The 25,763-nt window shown below is 38.4% G+C and overlaps 2 pseudogenes, besides 1 other annotated feature; one reads left to right on the plus strand and one right to left on the minus strand.

The window, feature by feature from the left end:
* Positions 7,148-7,346: a silencer, noted in NCBI's record as "fragment chr1:116106821-116107019 (GRCh37/hg19 assembly coordinates)". NCBI's record gives its function as "represses an EF-1alpha promoter that drives an FKBP-Casp9 reporter gene in an ReSE screen in K562 erythroleukemia cells {active_cell/tissue: K562}" and the evidence as "EXISTENCE:reporter gene assay evidence [ECO:0000049][PMID:32094911]".
* CNOT7P2 (CCR4-NOT transcription complex subunit 7 pseudogene 2) lies at positions 7,258-8,252 on the plus strand (annotated as a pseudogene).
* LOC100287840 (tetraspanin 12 pseudogene) lies at positions 20,174-20,733 on the minus strand (annotated as a pseudogene).

Genomic DNA, 25,763 nt, shown 5'->3' on the forward strand with positions numbered 1-25,763 from the left:
AGCTGCATGCTGTGGCTCAAGCCTATAATCACAGCAGTCTGGGAGACCTAGGTGGGAGGATTGCTTGAGCCCAGGAGTTCAAGACCAGCCTGGGAAACAGAGTGAGACCCCGTCTCTCCCAAAAAAATTAAAAATAAGCTGGGTGCAGTGGCATACACCTGTAGTCCCAGCTACTTAGGAGGCTGAGGTGGAAGTATCCCTTGAGCCCAGGAATTCAAGGTTGCAGTGAGCTATGATCACACCACTGCACTCTAGAGTGGGTAACAGAGCAAGACCTTGTCTTTTAAAAAATATATATGCATATATGTTACATACAATGGTCACTACACTAACAGCTCCACAGAGATTCTCAAATTCCCAGCTGCACCTCAAATTGCACCAGAATTGCTGATGACTGTGAACTTCCTAGATTGTTAAATAAATTATAATAATTTTTTAAAGTACCAAAAGTTAACCTTTGAACAATGCAACAATCCGAAAAGCTGGCAACCGACAAATATATAATCTCTACTTTAAAATGATGTTTTTAATTATGAAGCCAAGAATGTAAAATGACGTAACATAAAGTTTCTTTATCCTCATATCTGCTTTCTGAAGTGACAATGACTATAAAGTGAGAAGGGCATCAATCGGTAACAGAACAGGCAAGGGAAATAGAGTGTGAGTAAATTGTTACATTGACCAAGAATCTAATAATCTTGCTCACAAGGGTGAAATCAAAAGTAGGAACTTAAGTTTCCTGGTGAGTTGGATACCATTCCATCTTCATTGGTGATAATGAATCAGTACTCTGGGCAATCAATGATCTCACCAGGTGGGCAGACTCAGAAGGAGGAGCCTTAGTTCCTTTCTAAGGGAGCCTCCCTGCGAGGATCTACACTACACAAGTGATTAAAAAGCAATTCATTGGCTTGTGGCCAACTGCTGACACCATCACTCCAGCAGACTCTGACAGCTGGAGAATTGAGTTAGTTGTTGTTTATCCCCATCCTTATTGGTGCCTCCCTGGGGTGTCTGTACCCCAACCCCACAGTTTTCTAGCTGGGCCTGATGTTTCTCTTTAGACATTTCTAGCAGACCATTTTCTCAGTTTCTCCTATGTGGCTTAGCAATTCTCTCTAATGTCCTTTTTGTTTCATAGTTCTCTTCATTAATTTACTCAAAATGCATTGAATGGCAGGTGTGTTCAAGGCCCCACGCTAGAGGAGTTATACAGTGGAAATGCAGTTGGTTAAGAGACAGATATCATTAAATAGTTCTCAAAAAAGTAGTGAGTGCTAATCTAGGAGAACAGGTACCTGGACAGCGTTGGCCAACCCAGCTTTCTCCCTTGTCACTTACAGAATGCAATGTCCTGGGATAAGGAGGAACTGTCCAGAACAACCCAAACTATGCCCTTGTTCCTACTAGAACAGGGTGTTCTGCAGTCCTTGTGTTCTACAATCCTTGTGTGAGCCCAGAAATGCTCAGGGTATAAAACCCATAGCAGAGCGATTGCAGAGTCTCTCAGCTGCAGAGTGACATGGAACACAGGCAGACAAGATTCCATCTGCCCTGGAAAGTTGTATTGAGCCTTGCTGGACCAAATCCTTGGTTTCTTTTTTTTTTTCTTTTTCTTTCTTTTTTTCTTTTTTTTTTTTCTGTTTATCTGTCAGTAACAAATCTGCTTTGACTAACTTGTTGATCATGGATTCTGTCTCACTGGACTAGGCCTGCAAACCTTTGCAGTAATAAATGTCCCAAGTGGTAGAATGAAGGGTCAGAGGAAAGAACTATTCCATTATGCTCTTCCTTCAGTGACCACTGTTTTCCAGCTTCCTTCATAAGCTCCTTTTCCTTTCTGCCAGTACTCACTTTCCACCCTCTTTTCTACTTACTCACTAGGTAATGCATCTATTCATTTGGCTTTAACACCTAATTCCCAACCCTGACCATTCTCCTTAACTCCCACCCATATTTTCAACTATCTGTTAGATGTTACTACTGAAAGTTTATAGGTCTTCTCTTATGCAGTATGTCTAAAACCAAAGTTATTTTTCTGGAACTTACTGATCCTCCTGTATTCCCAGACTCCAACAATGGCTACAAGCTAGAAACCTTAAGTAGTTTTGATACATCCTATGCCTGGACTCCTAAACCTAATGCTTTGCCAAGTGTGGGTGTTTTTACCTTGGTTTTAAACTTTTTTTAAAACCAATACCATGTTTTACCCCTTAAACTCTTCATCTTATCTGCTTACTGAATCACCTGGTTGTTCTTTTTCAGAACCATTACACCAACCTGTTAACTGTACTCCCAATCTCCATCTCTTTCTTCTCAAACTATCCTCCACTGATACTAGATTGATCACTTTAATATATAAAGTGATCATGTCACTTCCCTGTTTCAGAATCTTATTATTGCACAGAGTAAAGCCCAGATTTTTTAGCATGCCAGAGAAGGCTTTCACAATCTGGTCTAATTGGTGATATATAAATACCCCCTCCAACCCCCAACACACATACATACACACATACATGTTAACTCTTCCAAAAATGTCCTAGCTTCTTAGGGAGAAAAACTTAAAGATTTGAAAATGAAGAAAAGTGATCACTAGCGGTGTCTTCCATGAAACGCTGGCTTTGTCTAGTAGGGCCTTCAGGGATGATCTGATTCTATAGGATTGTATACCTTTGATTGCCTTTGATTAACTAGGCTGTCTTACAGTTCTGTAGAAGTAGAGATTAAACTGTAGAAAATTGACAGTAATAAAAATATCTCTTCCCAAATGTCACTCTCTGTGCCTGAGCTAGGACATCTATCTTCTCCTGCCCCTGGGACATAGGCGTGCCTGGTTCTCTGGCCTTCAAACTCAGACCAGGGCTTACACTATTTGCTTCCATGGTTCTTAGGCTTTTGGGCTCAGAATAAATTACACTGTCAGCTTTCCTGGTCTTCCAGTTTATAGACAACAGATCGTGGGACTTTTCAGGCCCATACTCACCCCTTAAATCTTCGGCTAAAGTCTTCTATTTATCAAACCCAACCAGAAGCCAGAGGACAAGAGACCCCCAGTAGTGTGCTACGTAATGACACGCGGCCTGATGCGCCATGAGGGGAAAAGCCAGCTGGTAAAGACCACCCATGGAGATAAGCAGGGGAAAGCCAACAGAGCCTGGGCCCCTGATGACATCATCTGGCTGCTGCTTCATCGCATCATCCCAGAACCATGTTCTACAGCCTTCTTGTCAGTGCAACAGATGTCTACATATATAAATATGTAACATATATACAGATGTTTACATATATATGTAATATGTATGTTACACACATGTGAGTGTGTGTGCGTATTTCACCACATCACATGGTGAAAGCAGGAGCAAGTGAGAGAGAGTTGTGGGGGGAAGGTGCCACATACTTTTAAATGACCAGATCTCATAAGAACTCCCTATTGCAAAGACAGCATCAAGCCATGAGGGATCCACCCCTCATATATATATATATATTTATATATAGGCCACCAGTGCCATACTCACCTTCCAGGGACCTGGGAATCGATCTGCTCCACCTGATGCAGCTAGCACCAGTGTCCACATACATTATCCATGGGCCTAGGGACTGGCTCACCCCATTCACCACTGCCAGCACCTGTGGACACTGAAAACAGGGGCCTGAAAGCAAGCCTTTTCTGTCCATTGCTGCCACCACTGGTGCCTGAGGATCAGCCCACCTAATATTCCCATTCCCAGAAAAGTTTCATCATAACCTTCACTAACGACTGCAGTGTAAGCCACTAAGGAACTCACAAATTTCACTAATGCTAATTATCACTAAAGAAATCACATGGAAATTATATAACTGCACATGCCCAGAATCAAAGCCGAAGCACCCTGCCTGACCAACACTATAGATAAATCTATAAGTAAAAAATCTTCCCTATGAAAGCCAATTTATAAAATTGGAAGAAGTGACTGTTACACCAGATGCACAGATATCAGTGTAAAGACACAAGAAATGTTAAAAATTAAGAAAGCATGACACATCCAAAGGAACACAATAATTCTCCAGTAACAGATCTCAAAAGAAAGTTATGAAATGCCTGAAAAACAACACAAAATAATAATATTGAAGAAACTCAGTGAGATACAAGAGAACACAGATAAATAATACAAAGAAATCCAGAAAATAATTCATGATCTGAATGAGAAATTCAAAAAAGACATAGATATTATTGAAAAGAAACAATCATCAATCCTAAAACAGAAGAAATCAATGAATGAAATAAAAAAATACAATTGAGAGCATAAACAACAGACTAGATCAAACAGAAGAAAGAATTTTTGAACTCAAAGACAGTTGTTATGAAGTAATCTAGTCAGAACCCTCCCCCCCAAAAAAACAAGAAAGAAAGAAAGAAAGAAAAGCAGAAGAGGAAATAATAAAAAAGAAAAAAAAGGACTGAAAAGGCTGCATGACATATGGGACACCATAAAATGACCAAATATTCAAATTCTGTGAGTTCCAGGAGAAGATATAGGCAAAGACATAGAAAACTTATTTAATAAAACAATAGCTGAAAACTTACTGATATCATTTGGATGATTGTCCCCTCCAAATCTCATGTTGAAATGTAATTCTGTGTCGGAGGTGGGGCCTGGGAGGTGTTTGCCTCATGGCTTGGTGTTGTCTTTGTAATAGTGAGTTCCCACAAGACCTAGTCATTTAAAATGTGTGGCACCTTCCCCCCAGCTCTCCCTCTCCTGCTTCTGCTTTCGCCTGTGACATGCCTGCTCTCCCTTTGCATTCAGCCATGATTGTAAACTTCCTGAGACCTCCCTAGAAGCCAAGAAGACTCCAGCACCATGCTTCTTGTAATTCCTGCAGAACTGTGAGCCAGTTAAAACTCTTCACTTTATATATTACCCAGTCTCAGGTATTTCTTTTTTATTTTTATTTTTTGAGACAGGGTCTCACTCTGTCACCCAGGCTGGAGTGCAGTGGCACAATCTCAGCTTACTGCAACCTCCACCTCCTGGGTTCAAGCAATTCTCGTGCCTCAGCCTCTCGAGTAGCTGGGACTACAGGAGTGCACCACCACACCAAGCTAATTTTGGTATTTTATAATTCAGTTGCCCGGCTGGTCTCGAACTCCTGAGCTCAGGCAATCCACCTGCCATAGTCTCTCAAAGCGCTGGGATTACAGGTGGGAGCCACTGTTCCTGGCCTCAGGTATTTCTTTACAGAAATGCAAGGACAGCCTAACACAATTAGTGAGTTCTCGTTCTGAGTTCACACAAGATCTGATTGTTTAAAAGAGTGTAGCATCTCCCCCTCTCTCTCTTGCTCTTGTTTTTGTCATGTGACATGCTGGTTCCCTTTCCACCTTCAGCCATGATTGTAAGCTTCCTGAGGGCCTCATCAGAAGTAAATGCTGGCACTATGCTTTCTGTACAGTCTGAAGAACTGTGAGCCAATTAAACCTCTTTTCGTTATAAATTATCCAGTCTCAGGTATTCCTTTATAGTAACAAAAGAATGGACTAACACTGTTTCCAAGTCTTGCAAGACATGTAGACACTCATATATAGGAAGCTCAAAGATCACAAAATAGATTCAACCCAGAAACGTCTTTTCAAGGCACATTATAGTCAAACTGTCAAAAGTCCAAGAGAAAAAAACAATTCAAAAGTCAGAAAGAGAACAGCATCAAGTCACATATAACAGAATCTCCAACAGGCTAACATCAGATTTCTCAACAGAAACTTTACAGGCTAGGAAAAAATGCTATGCTATATTAAAAGAGCTAATATAGCCTTTCCCAGACAAGTAAAAACTGGGAAATTATCATCACTAGACTGATCCTACAAGAAATGCTTAAGGAGTCCTACATCTAAAAGTGAAAGGATGATATCTACCATCATGAAAACACATGAAAGTATAAATCTCACCGGTACAGCACATGTACAAATGAGAAACAGAAAGGAGCCAAACATTACCACTACAGTAAACCACCAGACTGCAATAGTAAGCAATAAGAGACAAAGAAAGGAATAAAGGATATACAAAAAAACCCCAAAACAATTAACAAAATGACAAGAATAAGTCTTCACCTATCAATGACAATTTTGAACATGAACAGATTAAATTCCCCACTTAAAATGTGTAGACTGGCTGACTAGATTAAAAACAAAACCAAAACCCAATTATATGCTACTTACAAGAAACTCACTTCACCTGTAAAGACACATATAAACTAAAAGTGAAGAAATGGAAAAAGATTTTCACACAAATGGAAATTCAAAATGAGCAGAAGGGGCTATACTCCCATCAGATAAAATAGACTTTAAGTAAAAAACTGTAAAAAGAGACAAAAAGGTCATTATTTAATGATAAAGGGATCAATTCAGCAAGAGGATATAATAATTCTAAATATATATATATTTATGTATATTTTTGTACATTTTGTACATGTATATTTTTGTACATTTATGTACATATAAATACATGTATATTTTGTACATATAAATATATGTATATCTTATACATATATATGTGTATATCCAAACTTGGAGCACCCAGATATATAAGGAAGCAAATACTATTAAGTCTATAGGGAGATAGACTACCATACAATAGTATTTGGGGACTTCAACACCCCACTCTCGGCATTGTACAGATTACCTAGATAGAAAATTAACAAAAACGTTGGACATAAACTGCACTTTAGAAAAATGGACCCAACAGACATTTACAGAACATTTTATAAAACAAATGCAGAATGTACATTCTTCTCAGCAGCACATGGAACATTCTTCAGTATAGACAATATGTTAGGCCATAAAACCAGTTGCAACAAATTTTTTAAACTCGAAATTATATCAAGTATCTTATTTGGCCACAGTGAAATAAAACCAGAGATAAATAACAAGAGGAACTTGGAAAACTGTACAAGTACATGGAAATGAAACAACATGCTCCCAAATGACTGTGGAGTCAATGAAGAAATTAAGAAGTAAATCTAAAATATTCTTGAAACAAATGAAAACGAAAATACAACATACCAAAACCTGTGGGATACAGTAAAAGCAGTGCCTAGAGAGATGTTTATAGCAGTAAATGTCCACATCAAAAGAGTAGAACAATTTCAAATAAACAACCTAACAATGCACCTAAAGGATCCAGAAAAGCAAGAACAAATCAAACTCAAAATTAGTTAAAGGAAAGAAATAATAAAGATCAGAGCAGAACTAAATGAAATAGATATTAAAAAAAAAAATACAAAGGACGGCGCAGCACGGTGCCGCGGCGCAGCTCCTGCTCGTCTTTCCCCCTTCCTGGGCGAGAGGTGCCTATGGCGCCTGATCGCCGCCGCCGCCGCTGCCGCCGCCGCTACCGCCACAGCCATCGCCGCTGGGCTGGGTGCAGTCTCTATGGCGAGGAGGAGGAGGTGGAGCGCGAGCTCAGCGACACAAGTACATAAATAAAGGAGAAAACATTTTATGAAACAAATCTTCAATCAAGTATAACATTCTGATGCTTGGCATCGAGACCCCCTTGTGCACTCACTACTCCAGCAGCAACTGTAGCTCATAGCCCAAGAATTTGTGAAGTTTGGGCTTGCAACTTGGATGAAGAGATGAAGAAAATTCGTCAAGTTATCCGAAAATATCATTACGTTGCTATGGTCACCGAGTTTCCAGGTGTGGTTGCAAGACCTATTAGAGAATTGAGGAGCAATCCTGACTATCAGTATCAACTATTGCAGTGTAATGTAGACTTCTTAAAGATAATTCAGCTAGGACTGACATTTATGAATGAGCAAGGTGAATACCCTCCAGGAACTTCAACTTGGCAGCTTAATTTTAAATTTAATTTGATGGAGGACATGCATGCCCAGCACTCTATAGAGCTACTAACAACATCTGATATCCAGTATAAAAAACATTAGGAGGAAGGAATTGAGACCCAGTACTTTGCTGAACTTATGACTTCGGGAGTGCTCCTCTGTGAAGGGGTCAAATGGTTGTCATTTCATAGCAGTTATGACTTTGGCTATTTAATTAAAATCCTGACCAACTCTAACTTGCCTGAAGAAGAACTTGACTTCTTTGAGATCCTTTGACTGTTTTTTCCTGTCATTTATGCTGTGAAGTAGCTCATGAAGAGCTGCAAAGGTGGTGGCAGAATAGGTAGAGCTGGAACGGATAGGACCACAGCATCAGGCAGGATCTGATTCATCGCTCACAGGAATGGCCTTTTCTAAAATGAGAGAAATGTTCTTTCAAGATCATATGGATGATGCCAAATATTGTGATCATTTGCATGGCCTTGGTTCTGGTTCCTCCTGTGTACAGAATGGCACAGGCAATGCATATGAAGAGAAAGCCAGCATTCAGTCATGACATGAAATAGTCCTTTTATTTTTATTTTATTTCGAGCTACACACATGCTTGTATATAGATTTTATCTCTGGTTGAATCCCTTGAACAACAGACAGTACCTCCCCCCATCTTTCATGGCCCATTTTATTGTCTGCCTTTCAGTACTAAGCATGACCATTCCTATCTCAGATCTTAATAAAAAGAAACACAGTCAGGTTAAATTTGGCCTTAATTTAATATAATTTAATGGGGAAAGAGACATCATATTGAATATTTTGATAAACTTTACCTACTCGAATTTGGTTTATTTTTCCCTTTTCGTAAATTAACTAGCACTGACTGTAATTTATTTCCCTGTCTCATATCTCTCCCTTCCATTCTGCAGGCGTTTTAGCTATTTGAGATTGTGAACCATCAGTTTTGCACTTTAGAGAGTGATTCTGACTCAAAACCTCTGTTTTATCAGAAATTTTGTTTTTTCTTTATCTTAGCTGGAAAAATGACCATCTGCCAACTTTACACAGTATTTACTTGTTTTTGACCCACAGAATATAGCACATTCATTGTGCAAACTGTCAATTCAGCAAAACCAAAAAAAAGACAAGAAACTACTGAAGAGCTTAGTAAGTGCTGTTTCTGTACATAGCGTTTAATCTTCCAAGCACTTCTAGTGTCTGTCAGTTTCTAATTGGCATGTGTAGGCTGCTCTGTGACTGAAGAATTTTAAAACCAGCTTTACACCGTTCAGGAAAAATCCTTTGTGATTGGATGTTTAGTATCTGCCAGGAAACTGGTACTCAAGATGTTGAAGCTACTGTTATTTTATGATAGCACACTTCCCTTGATCTGCTTCTTTTGTTCCATCACTGTTTACCCTTTATTTTATTTCATTTTGTAGCCATACTTATGATACTCTTGATTTGTTGGTTACACAAATCAATTTTATTAAAATCCAAAGATAACAAGCCTTTAGGTATATTTTGTACCAAATTAAATTAAAGACAAAAATTATGCTTTCATAGTTGCTGCAAAGATAAATAATGAAGAAATTTGGTACAAAACAACAAAATATAACATATATATACATATTCATTTTTATGTATGTATATATATATATATATATACAGCTAATAAAATTACCTGAGGAGTGTAATGCTTTGTTTTGTGTGTGTATATCTTTGCAATCTATTTTATATATATATTGACAAAAGAGACTGAAATATTTAGCCATGCAGAACATGTGACCAGACCAGAGCATTTGTAGGAAGACTTTTTGGTAATCATTAACTCTACCCTGAAATGATGGACTACAAGTTATAATGTGTGTTACCTACACTTCAATCAGTAATATTAGCAAATCTCCAAATGTTAGCCACATTGTTTGTCTCCCTTGTACATTCTTTATTCATGATACTACAGTGCTGTAACTGGGTAATCCTTTTTAAACAAAAGATTATTTACAGAACAGGAGGTATTATTTGTTTTTAGAGCTTTTGTAAATAAAGGCTTCAAAAATATTTTCTTATGAAAAAAGTAAAAAAATACAAAGGATTAATTAAATAAAAAATTGGTTTTTTGAAAAGAAAAAATTGATAAACCACTAGCTAGAGTAAGAGGAAAAAAAGAGAGAAGACTCAAATAAATAAAAGCAGAAAAAAAGGAGACATCACAACTGCTACCACAGAGAACCAAAGGACCATTAGAGACCATTATGAATAACTACACATTAACAAATTGGAAAACTTAGAGGAAATGGATAAGTTGCTGGATACATACAATCTACCAAGATTGTATGAAGAAATAGAAAGAAATAAAATAGAAAACCTGAACAGACTAATAACATTTAATAATATTGAATCAGTAATAAAATTATCCCAACAATAACAAAAAAGCCCAGGAGCAGACGGCTTTGCTGCGGAGTTCTACCAAACTTATAAAGAAGAATTAACACCAATTATTCTCAAACTATTCCAAAAATCTGAAGAGTAGGGAATTCTTCCTAAGTCATTCCATGGGGCTACCATTACCCTGATACTGAAACCAGATAAGGACACAATAAAAAATAAAACTACAGGCCAATATCTTTGATGAACACAGATGCAAAAACCTTCAACAAAATACTAGCAAACTGAATCCAACAACACATCAAAAAGATAATATAGCATGATCAAGTGGGATTTATCACAGAAATGCAAGGATGGTTCAATACACACAAATTTGTTGTGTGATACATCATATCAACAAATGAAGGACAAAAACCTTATGATCATCTCAATAAACACAGAAAAAGCATTTGATAAAATTTAACATCACTTCCTGATCAAAACTCTCAACAATTCAGGCATAGAAGGAACCTACCTGCTATGGTTTTGTTTTGTGTCTCTACCCAAATCTCATGCCAAATTGTAATTCCCAATGTTAGGAGAAGTACTTGGTGGGAGGTGATTGGATCATAGGTGTGAATTTCCCCTTTGCTGTTTTCATGATAGTGGGTGAGATCCAGTTGTTTAAAAGTGTATAGCACTTCCTTGTTCACTCTCTCCCTCTCCTGCTCTGCTGTGGTAAGACGTGCTTGCTTTCCCTTCCAACATGGCTGTAAGTTTCCTGAGGCCACTCAGCCATCCTTCCTGTACAGCCTGCAGAACTGACTCAATTAAACCTCTTTTCTTCATAGATTACCCAGTCTCAGGTAGTTCTTTATAGCAGTGTGAGAACAGAACGGACTAACACTACTTCAACATAATAAAGGCCATATATAACAAACCGATAGCTAATATCATACTGAATGGTGGGGCTGGGACTTGGGAGGCTAAGGTGGAAGAATTGCTTGAATCCAGGGGTTTGAGGCTGCAGTGAGCTATGATCACATCACTGCCCTCTATCCTGGGTGACAGAGCAAATGAGATCTTGTCTCCAAAAAGAAGAAGAAAAAGATACAAAATATCCAACAGATATATGAAAATATGCCCAACAACACTAATCATCAGGGAAATGCAAATCAAAACCACAATGAGATATTATTTCACCCCAGTTAGAATGGTTATTATTACAAAGACAAAAAGAATAACAAATACTCATGAGGATGAGGAAAAAATGGAACTCTCATACACTGTTAATAGGAATGTAACTTGGTATAGCCATAATGGAAAAAATATAGAGGTTTCCTAAAAGTAACTTGGTATAGCCATAATGGAAAAAATATAGAGGTTTCCTAAAAAACTAAAAATGAACTACCCTATGATCCAGCAATTCCACTACCGGGTATTTATCTAAAGGAAAGGAAGTCAGTGTATCAAAGGAATACCTGCACACCCATGTTTATTTCAGCACGGTTCACAAGAGCTAAGATAGAGAATCAGTGTAAGTGTCCATCAATAGATAAATGGATAATGTGATATATACATAATAAAATACTATTCATCCATGATAAAAGGATGAAATCCTGTCATTTGTGACATGGACAGAACTAAAGATCTTTATATTAAGAGAAATAAGCCAAGAACAGAAAGACAGACATTGTATGTACTCACTCATATGTGGGAGCTAAAAAAAGTTGATCTCATGGAGATAGAGAGTAGAATGATGGTTTCCAAAGGCTGGAAAGGGTGGTAGGGAGATGAAGAGAGGTTGTTTAGGGGGTACAAACATACAGTCAGATAGAAGTAATAAATTATTAGTTCTTAGTACCACAAAACAATGACTATAGTTAACAATAGTTTGTTTTATATTTCAAAATAGGGAGGAGAGGCTGGGCACGGTGGCTCATGCTTGTAATCCCAGCACTTTGGGATGCCAAGGCAGGGGGATAACCCGAGGTCAGGAATTCAAGACCAGCCTGGCCAACACTAAAAATATAAAAATTAGCCAGGCATCATTGTGCATGCCTGGAATCACAGCTATTCAGGAGGCTGAGGCCAAGAATCGCTTGAACCCAGGTGGTGGAGGTTGCAGTGAGCTGAGATGGTGCCACTGCACTCTAGCCTGGGTAACAGATCAAGACTTTTCTAAAAATAATAATAATAATAATAATAGGGAGAAGATTTGAAATGTTCTCAAGACGAATGATAAATGTTTGAGATGATGGATATTCTAAATAATTTGATCATTACACATTTATGCATATCTCAAAATATCACATGTACTCCATAAATATGTATAATTTTTATATATCAGTAAAAAAGAATGTTATCAGTATAGTTTACACTTTTTAAATTTTAATAAAAGTTCCTTTAAACAAACAAAAGTGTTTTCTTCCATAGCAGTAAAAATGATTCCTCTCTATAACTATGTAAATGGATTTTGCCCCACAGAGACTAGAAATCACTGGAGGTCAAATCTTGATTTAAACTGATTTTAATATCTTACCAGTTTCCTCATTATTTAAAGAGTTATGTAAAGTGTTGATACATGTTTATTTTAAATTTCCATGAGAGTCATGAATTTGCCATTCTGAGACTATCTTAGCACTTTTGAAGATCATCCACTAAGCTGCTCCAGTGACTCTCCTGAAGGAGTCAGGTGAATTGCACTGCATGAGACAGGCACCCCATGAGCTGCCTAAGTCCAGGCACATCTTTTGTTAGTTCTCAGAGTGGCTTCCAAGTGGCAATGGAACCTCAACTTCTTTGCTGAGTGAACTTTTAATATCAGCAGAAATTATGTTTTATTGTATGTCAGCTTAAACATAATTTTGAAGGTCTTAGAAAACCTAAAACATGGAACTAATATTAAAGTGAGCTAATAAAAGGAAAATATTGGATACAAGCATTGAATACTAAGAATAATTTTAATTTATTTTCTTTTGCTTCTTATTTTCATATGCAATAGAGCAGCTATATCTTTCAGTCATTTTTGCCACTTTAAGAAAGTATAAAAGGATTGGGTGGCTGTAGAAAGTTGTGCTTTGTGTATTCAAGATCTTTGATGATCTGCTAAAATGCTTGTATATGACAGAAGTCAATTACCTATTCCCAATTTTCTGCAAAACAGAAATTAATTACTTTGATTAAAAGTAATAATAATATAGGTGGCTAAAACTATATCAGAACAATAGTAACAAGGAAAATAACCTGTATGTTTATTTTTCAAATGAAAAGAAATAGTCCTAAAGTAACAGTTTCTTCCAGTTAGAGGAAGAAAGAGCATAATGAAGGACAAAGCTCAAGCAGAATGAATTGGATTTGCCTTGGTTTAAAGCATCTGAGTCTGAAAAGAAATTATGAAAAGAAATTATCTACTAAAATTTTGGCAAACTTTGGTCAGTTCTGATGGACCTGCTTTCTGGGTTTATTGATTAATGACTTCATTTACAACGTGAAAGGTTATTAATTATCATCTCTTCAATCTGCCTACAGATAAAAATTTCCATGTCTTAGAATAATTTCCTGTGTTTTGTTGACTTTATGATTATTAAAAAAAACAGAAGTACTAAGTTTCTGTGGAGCTGTATTATTTTCTTTGGTTTATTTTTTAATATTTTATTATAATTAGGTTAAGTTGCTAAATGTTGCTCCTCAGTCACCCAAGACCCTGTCTACATCAAGTGATCAATTCTGTTCCTACGACCTTTCGAATTTGCTCTCCCAAGATCAGGTCCTACATTTAGGACAAATAAAAAGTAATATTTTCAGAATATTATTTATACCTAGAACTATTATTAAGATAACCCCAAGAGCCCATGGAAAATAGCCATAATTTTTTATTTTACCTTATAACTAGGAGAGATGTTAGGATAATTAGGTTTGCTTGGCATGCTTCGTATTTCTTAACCAGCTCAGCATTTATTGTAAGAGCTGCAGAGGAGGCTGGGTGCAGTGGCTCACACCTGTAATCCCAGCATTTTGGGAGACTGAGGCAGGTGGATCACCTGAGGTCAGGAGTTCGACCACCCTGGCCAACACAATGAAACCCCCTCTCTACTAAAAATACAAAATTAGCCAGGCGAGGTGGTGGATGCCTGTAGTCCCAGCTACTCTGGAGGCTGAGGCAGGAAAATCTTTTGAACCTGGAAGGTGGAAGTTGCAGTGGGCCGCCGAGATCATGCCAGCCTGGGCAACAGAGCAGGACTCTGTCTCAAAAAAAAAAAAAAAAAGAAAAAAAGTCGGGTGCAGTGGCTCATGCTTGTAATCCTAGCACTTTGGGAGGCCAAGGCAGGCAAATCACCTGAGGTCAGGAGTTCGAGACAAGCCTGGCCAACATGGTGAAACCCCATCTCTGCCAAAAATACAAAAAATTAGCCAGGTGTGGTGACTCATGTCTGTAATCCCAGCTACATGGGAGGCTGAGGCAGAAGAATCACTTGAACCCAGGAGGCAGAGGTTGCAGTGAGCCAAGATTGTGCCACTGCACTCCAGCCTGGGTGACAGTGCAAGACTCCATCTTTAAAAAATAAAAAATAAAAAATAAAAAAAAACTGCAGAGGAGGAATTATTAAATCATAGAAAACATAGAAAACACTTAGCCCTCCCTGAATTAAGTTTGAATGGGTGAAATATTGTTAATATAAATATTTCAAAAACAATATGCTTTATGTGAAGGCCCTGGAGATTTTTCAGTGTGTTCACTATCCATAATATGTTTTTATCCTCAAGGAAAAATATTGATCAAATGTATACAAAATAGTTATAGGCCAGGCATGGGACTCACACCTGTAATCCCAGCACTTTGGGAGGCCAAGGCAAGAGGATTGCTTGAGTCCAGGAATTGAAGAACAGCCTGGGCAATATGGTGAGACACTGTCTCTACAAAAAAATAATAATTAGCCAGGCATGGTGGCTCGTGCTTGTTGCCCTAGCTACTCAGGAGACTGAGGTGGGAAGATTGCTTGAGTACAGGAGGTTGAGATCACAGTGAGCTGGGATCATGCCACTCCACTTCAACCTGGGTGACAGAGTGAGACCCTGTCTCAAAAAAAAAAAGTTCTGTATTATACCCCAATGGGGAATTTTACTTTCCTACCTTATGATATAATTGGCCTCATCCTTCTAGTATTTCTCATCTACAAATAATTTTTGTTTTACTCTGATTCTTGCCAAACAGCTAAAAAGCTTTTAGAGGCTGTGTTTTCAACTAAGGAAAGTTTCAGAACCCCATGGAAAGTTTTGCATCAATAATTTTCAACTATTGATATTTGATATGGTTTAGCTCTGTGTCCCCACCCAAATCTCATCTTGTAGCTCCCATAATTCCCACCTGTTGTGGGAGGGACTCAGTGAGAGATAATTGAATCATAGGGGTAGGACTTTCCTGTGGTGTTCTCATTATAGTGAATAAGTCTCACGAGATCTGATGGTTTTAAAAACAGGAGTTTCTGTGCACAAGCTCTCTCTCTTTGCCTGCCACCATCCATGTGAGATTTGACTTGCTCCTCCTTGCCTTCCTTGATGATTGTGAGGCCTCCCCAACCATGTGGAACTGTAAGCCCATTAAACCTCTTTCTCTTTCCAGTCTTGGATATGTCTTTATCAGCAGCATGAAAATGGACTAATACAGTAAATTGGTACCAGGAGTGGGGTGGTGATGAAAAGATACCTGAATATGTGGAAGCGACTTTGGAACTGGGTAACAGGTGGAGGCTGGAAGTTTGGAGGGCTCAGAAGAAGACAGAAAAGTGTGGCAAAGTTTGTGGAACTTACTAGAGACTTGTTGAATGGCTTTGTCAAAAATGCTAATAGTGATATGAACAACAAGGTCTAGGCTGAGGAGGTCTCAGATGGCGATGAGGAACTTGTTGGGAACTGTAGTAAAGGTGACTCTTGCTATGTTTTAGCAAACAGAGTGATGGCATTTTTCCCCTGCCCTAGAGATTTGTGAAACTTTGAACTTGAGAGAGATGATTTCAGGTATCTGGCAGAATAATTTCTAAGGAGCATTCAAGAGGTGACTTTGGGTGGTGTTAAAAACATTCAGTTTTATAAAGGAAGCAGAGCATTAAAGTTTGGAAAGTTCACAGCCTGAAAATGCAATAGAAAAGAAAGACCCATTTTTTGAAGAGAAATTCAAGCCCACTGCATAAATTTGCATAAGGAACGAGTTAATTAATGAATGTTAACCCCCAAGCAATGGGGAAAATTTCTCCAGGCATTCAGAGGTCTTCACAGCAGCCCCTCCCATCACAGGCTTGGAGGTCTAGGAGAAAAAGATGGTTTCCCAGGCCGGGCCCAGGGTCCCTCTGTTGTGTGCAGTCTAGGGACTTGATCTGCATTGCAGCCACTCCAGCCATGACTAAAATGGGCCAAGGTTCAGCTCGGGCTGTTGCTTCAGCGAGTGGGAGCCCCAAACCATGGCAGCTTCCATGTGGTGGTGAGCCTGCAAGGGCACAGAAGTCAATAATTGAGGTTTGGGAACCTCCACCGAGATTTCAGAGGATGTATGGAAATGCCTGGATGCCCAGGCAAGAGTTTGCTGCAGTGGTGGGGCCCTCATGGAGAACCTCTGCTAGAGCAGTATGGGAGGGAAATGTGGGGTCAGAGCCCTCAAGCAGAGTCCCTACTGGGGCACCACCTAGTGGAGGTGTGAGAAGAGGGCCAAGGTCACCCAGATCCCAGAATGGTAGATCCACTGACAGTTTGCACTGTGCACCTGGAAAAGCCGCAGACACTCAATGCTGGCCCATGAAAGCAGCCAGGAGAGGGGCTATAACCTGCAAAGTCACATGGTCGAAGTTGCCCAAGACCATGGGAAGCCACCACTTGCATCAGCATGGCCTGGATATGAGACATGGAGTCAAAGGAGATCACTTTGATACTTTAAGACTTGACTGCCGGGTTGGTTTTTGGACTTCCATGGGGCCTGTAGCCCCTTTGTTTTGACTAATTCCTCTCATTTGGAATGGCTGTATTTACCCAATGCCTGTACCCCCATTGTATCTAGGAAGTAACTAACTTGCTTTTGATTTTACAGGCTCTTAGGTGGAAGGGACTTGCATTGTCTCAGATGAGACTTTGGACTGTGGACTTTTGAGTTAATGCTGGAATGTGTTAAGACTTTGGGGCACTGCTAAGAAGGCATGATTGGTTTTGAAATGTGAGGACATGAGATTTGGGAGGGGCTGGGGCAGAATGATATGGTTTGACTCTGTGTCCCCACCGAAATCTCATCTTGTAGCTCCCATAATTCCCACGTATTGTGAGAGGGGCCTGGTAGGAGATAACTGAATCATAGAGTCGGCACTTTCCTGTGCTGTTCTCATAATAGTGAATAAGTCTCACGAGATCTGATGTTTTAAAAAATGAGAGTTTCTGTGCACAAGCTCTCTTCTCTTATCTGCCACCATATGAGATGTGCCTTTCACCTTCTGCCATGATTGTGTGGCATCCTCAGCCACATGGATGGAACTGTGAGTCCATTAAACCTCCTTCTTCTTTAAATTGACCAGTCTTGGTTATGTCTTTATCAGCAGTATGAAAACAGAGTAATACAATATTTCAAATAATAGATTCTTGAATACATAATTCCAAGATTACACAGCTTAGAGAACCTCAGACTGTACCAGTGGGCTAAGCAGGATTTCCATGTCTAGTTTTACTCAGGAAGCAAACAGCTTTATGAAGGCAAACTACTACTGATGGAAAACCCAGTAGCAAAGAATTAATTACAGTATTACGTTAAGTCTCCTTTTTTCCAGGTTTTTTATCTTTACTGAATTTTTTTTTTTTGTTTTTGGCCAAAGAAACTTTTTGATCAAAAAGTTATTCTCTACTGGTAGCAGCAATAATTGAGAATTTGGTTTTATGCACTCACAATTTGGGTTATTTTTCTAGATAAATGATAGACATCTATTCTCTTTTGAGAGAGATGACAAATAATCCCATTTGACACCCCTTTTCCTTTATTTGTCCACGTTTATCTCAAATCAACTAAGTATTTGGTGCACACTGAGAAGAAAAAGAGATTTTTTATATCTGTAATGGTGATGTTTTTGTTTTTGTGTCTATTTTTTATTACTCTCTAGAAAGCATTTATTAACATTTACTTTAATTTTCTTTCCGTATTCTGGAAAATAAATATAATACACAAAATGCAATAAAATGCTCTCTTCCCATTTCAAATAAATATAATTTGCTCTTGCAAAACATGTAATAATCTGTGTAATTCACTACAGTATATGTGTTAGTCCGTTTTCACACTGCTATAAAAAAAATACCTGAGACTGGGTAATGTATGAAGAAAAGAGGTTTAATTGACTCAGTTTCACAGGCTTAACAGGAAGCATGGCTGGAAGGCCTCAGGAAACTTACAATCATGGCAGCAGGAAAAGGGGAAGCAAGCATGTCTTACCATGGCAGAGCAGGAGAGATAGAGTGTGTGAGGGTGTAAGTGCTACACACTTTCAAAAAAATCAGATGTCATGAGAATTCACTCACTATCACAAGAACAAAAGGGAAGTCCACCCCCATGATTCAATCACCTCCCAGCAGGCTATTCCTCCAACACATTGGGATTACAACTTGACATGAGATCTGGGTGGGGGCATAGAGCCAAACCATATCAATTTACTATCAGGAAAATAAGGATAATCCCTAGTTACATTGTCACTTATTTTAATGACTGCCACAAGCATCTTACTCTGGAGAAAAAGAACACCATTGTCTGTGGGATTATATTGACTTGGAGACTGTTGCTTCTTGTTTGGAGGAGGCAAAGATAAACTCTTTTAAAAAGCATTTAGTGTCCACCAGGCACAGTGGTTCATATCTGTAATCCCAGCTCTTTGGGAAGCCAAGATGGGAGGATCTCTTGAGGCCAGGAGTTTGAGATTACAGTGAGCTCTGATTATGCCACTGCAGTCTACCTGAGTGACAGAGGGAGACTCTGTCTTTAAAAATATATAATAAATTTAAATTATGTGTGTGTGTGTGTGTTTAGTGTCAAAAAGTATCTTAGTTTGGGAGAAAAATAGCATCTAGGTCTTTGCTAAATCAACTAAATTGTGTGGTAACTTTCCTGTTAATACTTCCTAGAGACCAGACCACATTCTGAATAATGATTCCTGTGTATCACACTGATAATTTTCAAATTAGTGGTTAAGTATTTGAATTCATAGTTATGTATATGCTATTATATAAACCCAAAACAGAATTTTAAAGCTCCATTAACAGGAAAGGCTAAAAATAATGGTGCTTTACAGGACAAATTTATCTTTTTTACAATTGTTATTATTAACATTATAAAAACTGAAATCTATTGAATTATAAAGACTTAACACAGGCTTATAAATGCTTGTGTCCATGATCACTTTAAGACAATGTGTTAGTTTGCTCTTACAAGTGGTAAGAATATTTTACTAACCAGCAAAAATTACATGTAGGTATTCACATTCACCAATCTTAAAAATTTTCTTTTGTGTAATCTATTCACACTCAAAAGAATATATCGCCAAGGAATAAAAGTCATTATTACTGTTTGTTTTCTTATGTTAGCAGTTGATTGGTACTTTATATACTACCTGGTAGAAGTAAACTAACATTTACTGTAGTTCCAGTCCCGCCATATGTGGCTTATTTACATGGATGAGAAATGCTGATCAAACCATGCCACCTCAAAACATACTGTGTTCAGTAAAAAATCTTACACAGGCTATAAAGTGGGTATTAAATCTGTCCTCAGTATTATAAAGGACATCAATTAGTGTCCAGCTGGTGACATAATATGAAAACTTTTTTCTTCATTTATAAGGGTAGAAAATTATATGCCCAGGCATTCCTTTATAGCAACATGTTTATTTCTACAAATTTCTGTAACAGTTAAGTGTGTACTCAAAAATTCACAAGTCCAATAAAATAAGTTTGTGGTTTCCTTCTTTGACATTCTTAATATTTACTCCATTTCAAAGGGTGTATTAAAGTTGTTTGCCAAGGATGTATGTTCAAAGATCCTTGACAAGCTTGGTATGGACAGTTCTACTGAGTGACATGAGTTGCTGAGAGGTGCTTCAGGGATGTCATTTGGTCTATCTCAGGCTCCCTTCTCTCATAATACAGAGCCCAGAGTTAAGTAGTGGTGAGAATCATGGCCAGGTTTGTGTCACTTTAATGGAAATTCCCAGAAAACTTAGCACTTGTGATTGTTTGGTTCCTTTCAAAAGGAAACATTTTTGTTCCCACAGTCCTCTTGATAAAGGTCACTAAGATCTTCCTGGTGGGAATTCTCTAGCATAGCAGGATTCTGGGGGCTAGTCCGTCCCTGTCATTTCCAACCAGTCACTGAAACATACTACTTCACAACACTTAAATGCCCACCGAAAACTTTCCAACCATGAGTAAGCCACTGGTATCCAGGTAAGTCATATTTGCCATTCTGGCTTTCAAAGTGACTACATCTAACCACTGTACTGGAACCACACACTTCTGTTCATATGTCCAAATGCCACTAGCCTCAGCCTCCTGGGTAGCTGGGACTATAGGCATGTGCCACCAAACACAGCTAATTTTTTTCATATTTTTGGTAGAGATGGGATTTCACCATGTTGGCCAGGATGGTCTTGATCTCTTGACCTCGTGATCCACCCACCTCGGCCTCCCAAAGTGCTGGGATTACAGGCCTGAACCACCACACCCAGCCAGAAATAATTAGATTTATTTGATGTCCGTCTACTATAACAGTTACATGGGAAGAGTTGTCAAATCAGAAAAGACACCCAATCTGCCCTAGGCTAAATTTGCATAGGTAAATGCATAGGTAAATGATATGCAAATACATACATTTGCATAGGTAAAGTGATGTTTGTATAAATATTCCAGGAATTATATATTTTACAAGAACTTCCTGGATATTTCTCAATATTCCTTGCTACTGTATTATTTATTATTTATTATTTATTATTATTTATTATTTATTATTATACTTTAAGTTCTAGGGTACATGTGCAGAACGTGCAGGTTTGTTACATAGGTATACATGTGCCATGTTGGTTTGCTGTACCCATCAACTCGTCATTTATATTAGGTATTTCTAACGCTATCTCTCCCCCAGCCCCCCACCCCATGATAGGCCCCAGTGTGTGACATTCCCCTCCCTGTGTCCATGTGTTCTCATTGCTCAACTCCCACTTATGAGTGAGAACATGTGGTGTTTGGTTTTCTGTCCTTGTGATATTTTACTGAGTATGATGGTTTCCACCTTCATCCATGTCCCTACAAAGGACATGAACTCATCCTTTTTTATGGCTGCATAGTATTCCATGGTGTATATGTGCTACATTTTCTTTATCCAGTCTATTATTGAAGGACATTTGGGTTGGTTCCAAGTCTTTGCTATTGTGAATAGTGCCACAATAAACATACATGTGCATGTGTCTTTATAGTAGCATGATTTATAATCCTTTGGGTATACTCAGTAATGGCATTGCTGGGTCAAACGTATTTCTATTTCTAGATCCTTGAGGAATTCCCACACTGTCTTCCACAATGGTTGAACTAATTTACACTCCCACCAACAGGGTAAAAGCATTCCTATTTCTCCACATCCTCTCCAGCATCTGTTGTTTCCTAACTTTTTAATGATCGCCATTCTAACTGGCATGAGATGGTATCTCATTGTGGTTTTGATTTGCATTTCTCTGATGGCCAGTGATGATGAGCATTTTTTGATATGTCTGTTGGCTGCATAAATGTCTTCTTTTGAGAAGTGTCTGTTCATATCCTTTGCCCACTTTTTGATGGGTTTGTTTATTTTTATCTTGTAAATTTGTTTAAGTTCTTTGTAGATTCTGGATATTAGCCCTTTGTCAGATGAGTAGATTGCAAAAATTTTCTCCCATTCTGTAGGTTGCCTGTTCACTCTAATGATAGTTTCTTTTGCTCTGCAGAAGCTCTTTAATTAGATCCCATTTGTGAATTTTGGCTTTTGTTGCCATTGCTTTTGGTATTTTAGTCATGAAGTCTTTGCCCATGCCTATGTCCTGAATGGTATTGCCTAGGTTTTCTTCTAGGGTTTTTATGGTTTTAGGTCTTACATTTAAGTCTTTAATCCATCTTGAATTAATTTTTATATAAGGCATAAGGAAAGGATCCAGTTTCAGGTTTCTACATATGACTAGCCAGTTTTCCCAGCACCATTTATTAAATAGGGAATCTTTTCCCCATTGCTTGTTTTTGTCAGGTTTGTCAAAGATCAGATGGTTGTAGATGTCTGGTGTTATTTCTGAGGCCTCTGTTCTGTTCCATTGGTCTATCTCTCTCTGTTTTGGTACCAGTACCATGCTGTTTTGGTTACTGTAGCCTTGTAGTATAGTTCAAAGTCAGATAGTGTGATGCCTCCAGCTTTGTTCTTTTTGCTTAGGATTGTCTTGGCTATGTGGGCTCTTTTTTGGTTCTATATGAAATTTAAAGTAGTTTTTTCCAAATCTGTGAAGAAAGTCAGTGGTAGCTTGATGAGGATAGCATTGAATCTATAAATTACCTTGGGCAGTATGGCCATTTTCATGATATTGATTCTTCCTATCCATGAGCAGGGAATGTTCTTCCATTTGTTTGTGTCCTCTCTTATTTCGTTGAGCAGTGGTTTGTAGTTCTCCTTGAAAAGGTCCTTCACATCCCCTGTAATTTGGATTCCTAGGTATTTTATTCTCTTTGTAGTAAATGTGAATGGGAGTTCACTCATGTTTTGGCTCTCTGTCTGTTTTTAGTGTATAGGAATTCTTGTGACTTTTGCACATTGATTTTCTATCCTGAGACTTTGCTGAAGTTGCTTATCAGCTTAAGGAGATTTTGGCTGAGATGATGGGGTTTTCTAAATATACAATCATGTCACCTGCAAACAAAGACAATTTGACTTTCTCTTTTCCTAATTGAATACCTCTTATTGCTTTTTCTTGCCTGATTGCCCTGGCCAAAACTTCCAATACTATGTTGAATAGGAGCAGTGAGAAAGGGCATCCTTGTCTTGTGCTGGTTTTCAAAGGGAATGCTTCCAGTTTTTGCCCATTTGGTATGATATTGGCTGTGGGTTTGTCATAAATAGCTCTTATTATTTTGAGATACGTTCCATCAATACCTAGTTTATTGAGAGTTTTTAGTGTGAAAGGCTGTTGAACTTTCTCAAAGGCCTTTTCTGCATCTATTGAGATAATGATGTGTTTTTGACATTGGTTCTGTTTATGTGATGGATTACGTTTATTGATTTGCAAATGTTGAACCAGCCCTGCATCCCAGGGATGAAGAAAACTTGATCACGGTGGACAAACTTTTTGATGTGCTGCTGGATTCAGTTTGCCAGTATTTTATTGAGGATTTTCGCATCAATGTTCATCAGACATATTGGCCTAAAATTATCTTTTCCTGTTGTGTTTCTGCCAGGCTTTGATATCAGGATGATTCTAGCCTCATAAAATGAGTTAGGGAGGATTCCCTCTTTTTCTATTGATTGGAGTAGTTTCAGAAGGAATGGTACCAGCTCCTCTTTGTACCTCGGACAGAATTCGGCTATGAATCCATCTGGTCCTGGACTTTTTTGGTTGGTAGGCTATTAATTATTGGATCAATTTCAGAACCTGTTATTGGTCTATTCAGAGATTCAACTTCTTCCTGGTTTAGTCTTGGGAGGGTGTATGTGTCCAGGAATTTTTCCATTTCTTCTAGATTTTCTAGTTTATTTGCATAGAGGTGTTAATAGTATTCTCTGATGGTAGTTTGTATTTCTGTGGGATCGGTGGTGACATCCCCTTTATCATTTTTTATTGCATCTATTTGATTCTTCTCTCTTTTCTTCTTTATTAGTCTTGCTAGCGGTCTATCTATTTTGTTGATCTTTTCAAAAAACCAGCTCCTGGATTCATTGATTTTTTTGAAGAGTTTTTTTGTGTCTCTATCTCCTTCAAGTTCTTCTCTGATCTTAGTTATTTCTTGTCTTCTGCTAGCTTTTGAATTCGTTTGCTCTTGCTTCTCTAGCTCTTTTAATTGTGATGTCAGGGTGTCAACTTTAGATCTTTCCTCCTTTCTATAGAGGGCATTTAGTGCTATAAATTTCCCTCTACACACTGCTTTAAGTGTGTTCCAGAGATTCTGGTACTTTGTGTCTTTCTTCTCATTGGTTTCAAAGAACATCTTTATTTCTGCCTTAATTTCATTATTTACCTAGTAATCATTCAGGAGCAGGTTGTTCAGTTTCCATGTAGTTGTGTGGTTTTGAGTGAGTTTCTTAATCCTGAGTTCTAATTTGATTGCACTGTGGTCTGAGAGACAGTTTATTGTGATTTCGGTGCTTTTACATTTGCTGAGGAGTGTTTTACTTCCAATTATGTGGTCAGTTTTATAGTAAGTGTGATGTGGTGCTGAGAAGAATGTATATTTTGTTAATTTGGGGTGGAGAGTTCCGTAGATGTCTATTAGGTCTGCTTGGTCCAGAGCTGAGTTCAAGTCCTGGATATCCTTGTTAATTTTCTGTCTCATTGATCTGCCTAATATTGACAGTGGGGTGTTAAAGTCTCTCATTATTATTGTGTGGGAGTGTAAGTCTCTTTGTGGGTCTCTAAGAACTTGCTTTATGAATCAGGGTGCTCCTGTATTGGGTGCATATATATTTACAATAGTTAGCTCTTCTTGTTTCACTGATCCCTTTAACATTATGTGATGGCTTTCTTTGTCTCTTTTGATTTTTGTTGGTTTAAAGTCTGTTTTATCAGAGACCAGGAATGCAACCCATGCTTTTTTTGCTTTCCATTTGCTTGGTAGATCTTCCTCCATCCTTTTATTTTGAGCCTACGTGTTTCTTTGCATGTGAGATGGGTCTCCTGGATACACCACACTGACGGTCTTGACTATCCAATTTGTCAGTCTGTGTCTTTTAATTGGGGCATTTAGCCCATTTACATTTAAGATTAATATTTTTATGTGTGAATTTGATCCTGTCATTATGATGCTAGCTTGTTAATTTGCCTGTTAATTAATGCGGTTTCTTCATAGCATCGATGGTCTTTACAATTTGGCATGTACTGGTTGTTCCTTTCCATGTTTAGTGCTTACTTCAGGAGATCTTATAAATCAGGCCTGGTGGTGACAAAATCTCTCAGCATTTGCTTGTCTGTAAAGGATTTTATTTCTCCTTCACTTATTAAGCTTCTTTTTGCTGGATATGAGATTCTGGATTGAAAATTATTTTCTTTAAGAATGATGAATATTGGCCCCCACTCTCTTCCGGCTTGTAGGGTTTCTGCAGAGAGATCCACTGTTAGTCTGATGGGCTTCCCTTTGTGGGTAACCTGACCTTTCTCTCTGGCTGCCCTTAACTTTTTTTTTTTTTTTTTTTCTGAGACAGAGTCTCACTCTGTTGCCCAGGCTGGAGTGCAGTGGCGTGATCTCAGCTCACTGCAAGCTCCATCTCCTGGGTTCACACCATTCTCCTGCCTCAGCCTCCTGAGTAGCTGGGACTATAGGCACCTGCCACCATGCCCAGCTAATTTTTTTTT

The sequence above is a fragment of the Homo sapiens genome, chromosome 1 (assembly GCF_000001405.40).
Source record: "Homo sapiens chromosome 1, GRCh38.p14 Primary Assembly".
Lineage (NCBI taxonomy): Eukaryota > Metazoa > Chordata > Mammalia > Primates > Hominidae > Homo > Homo sapiens.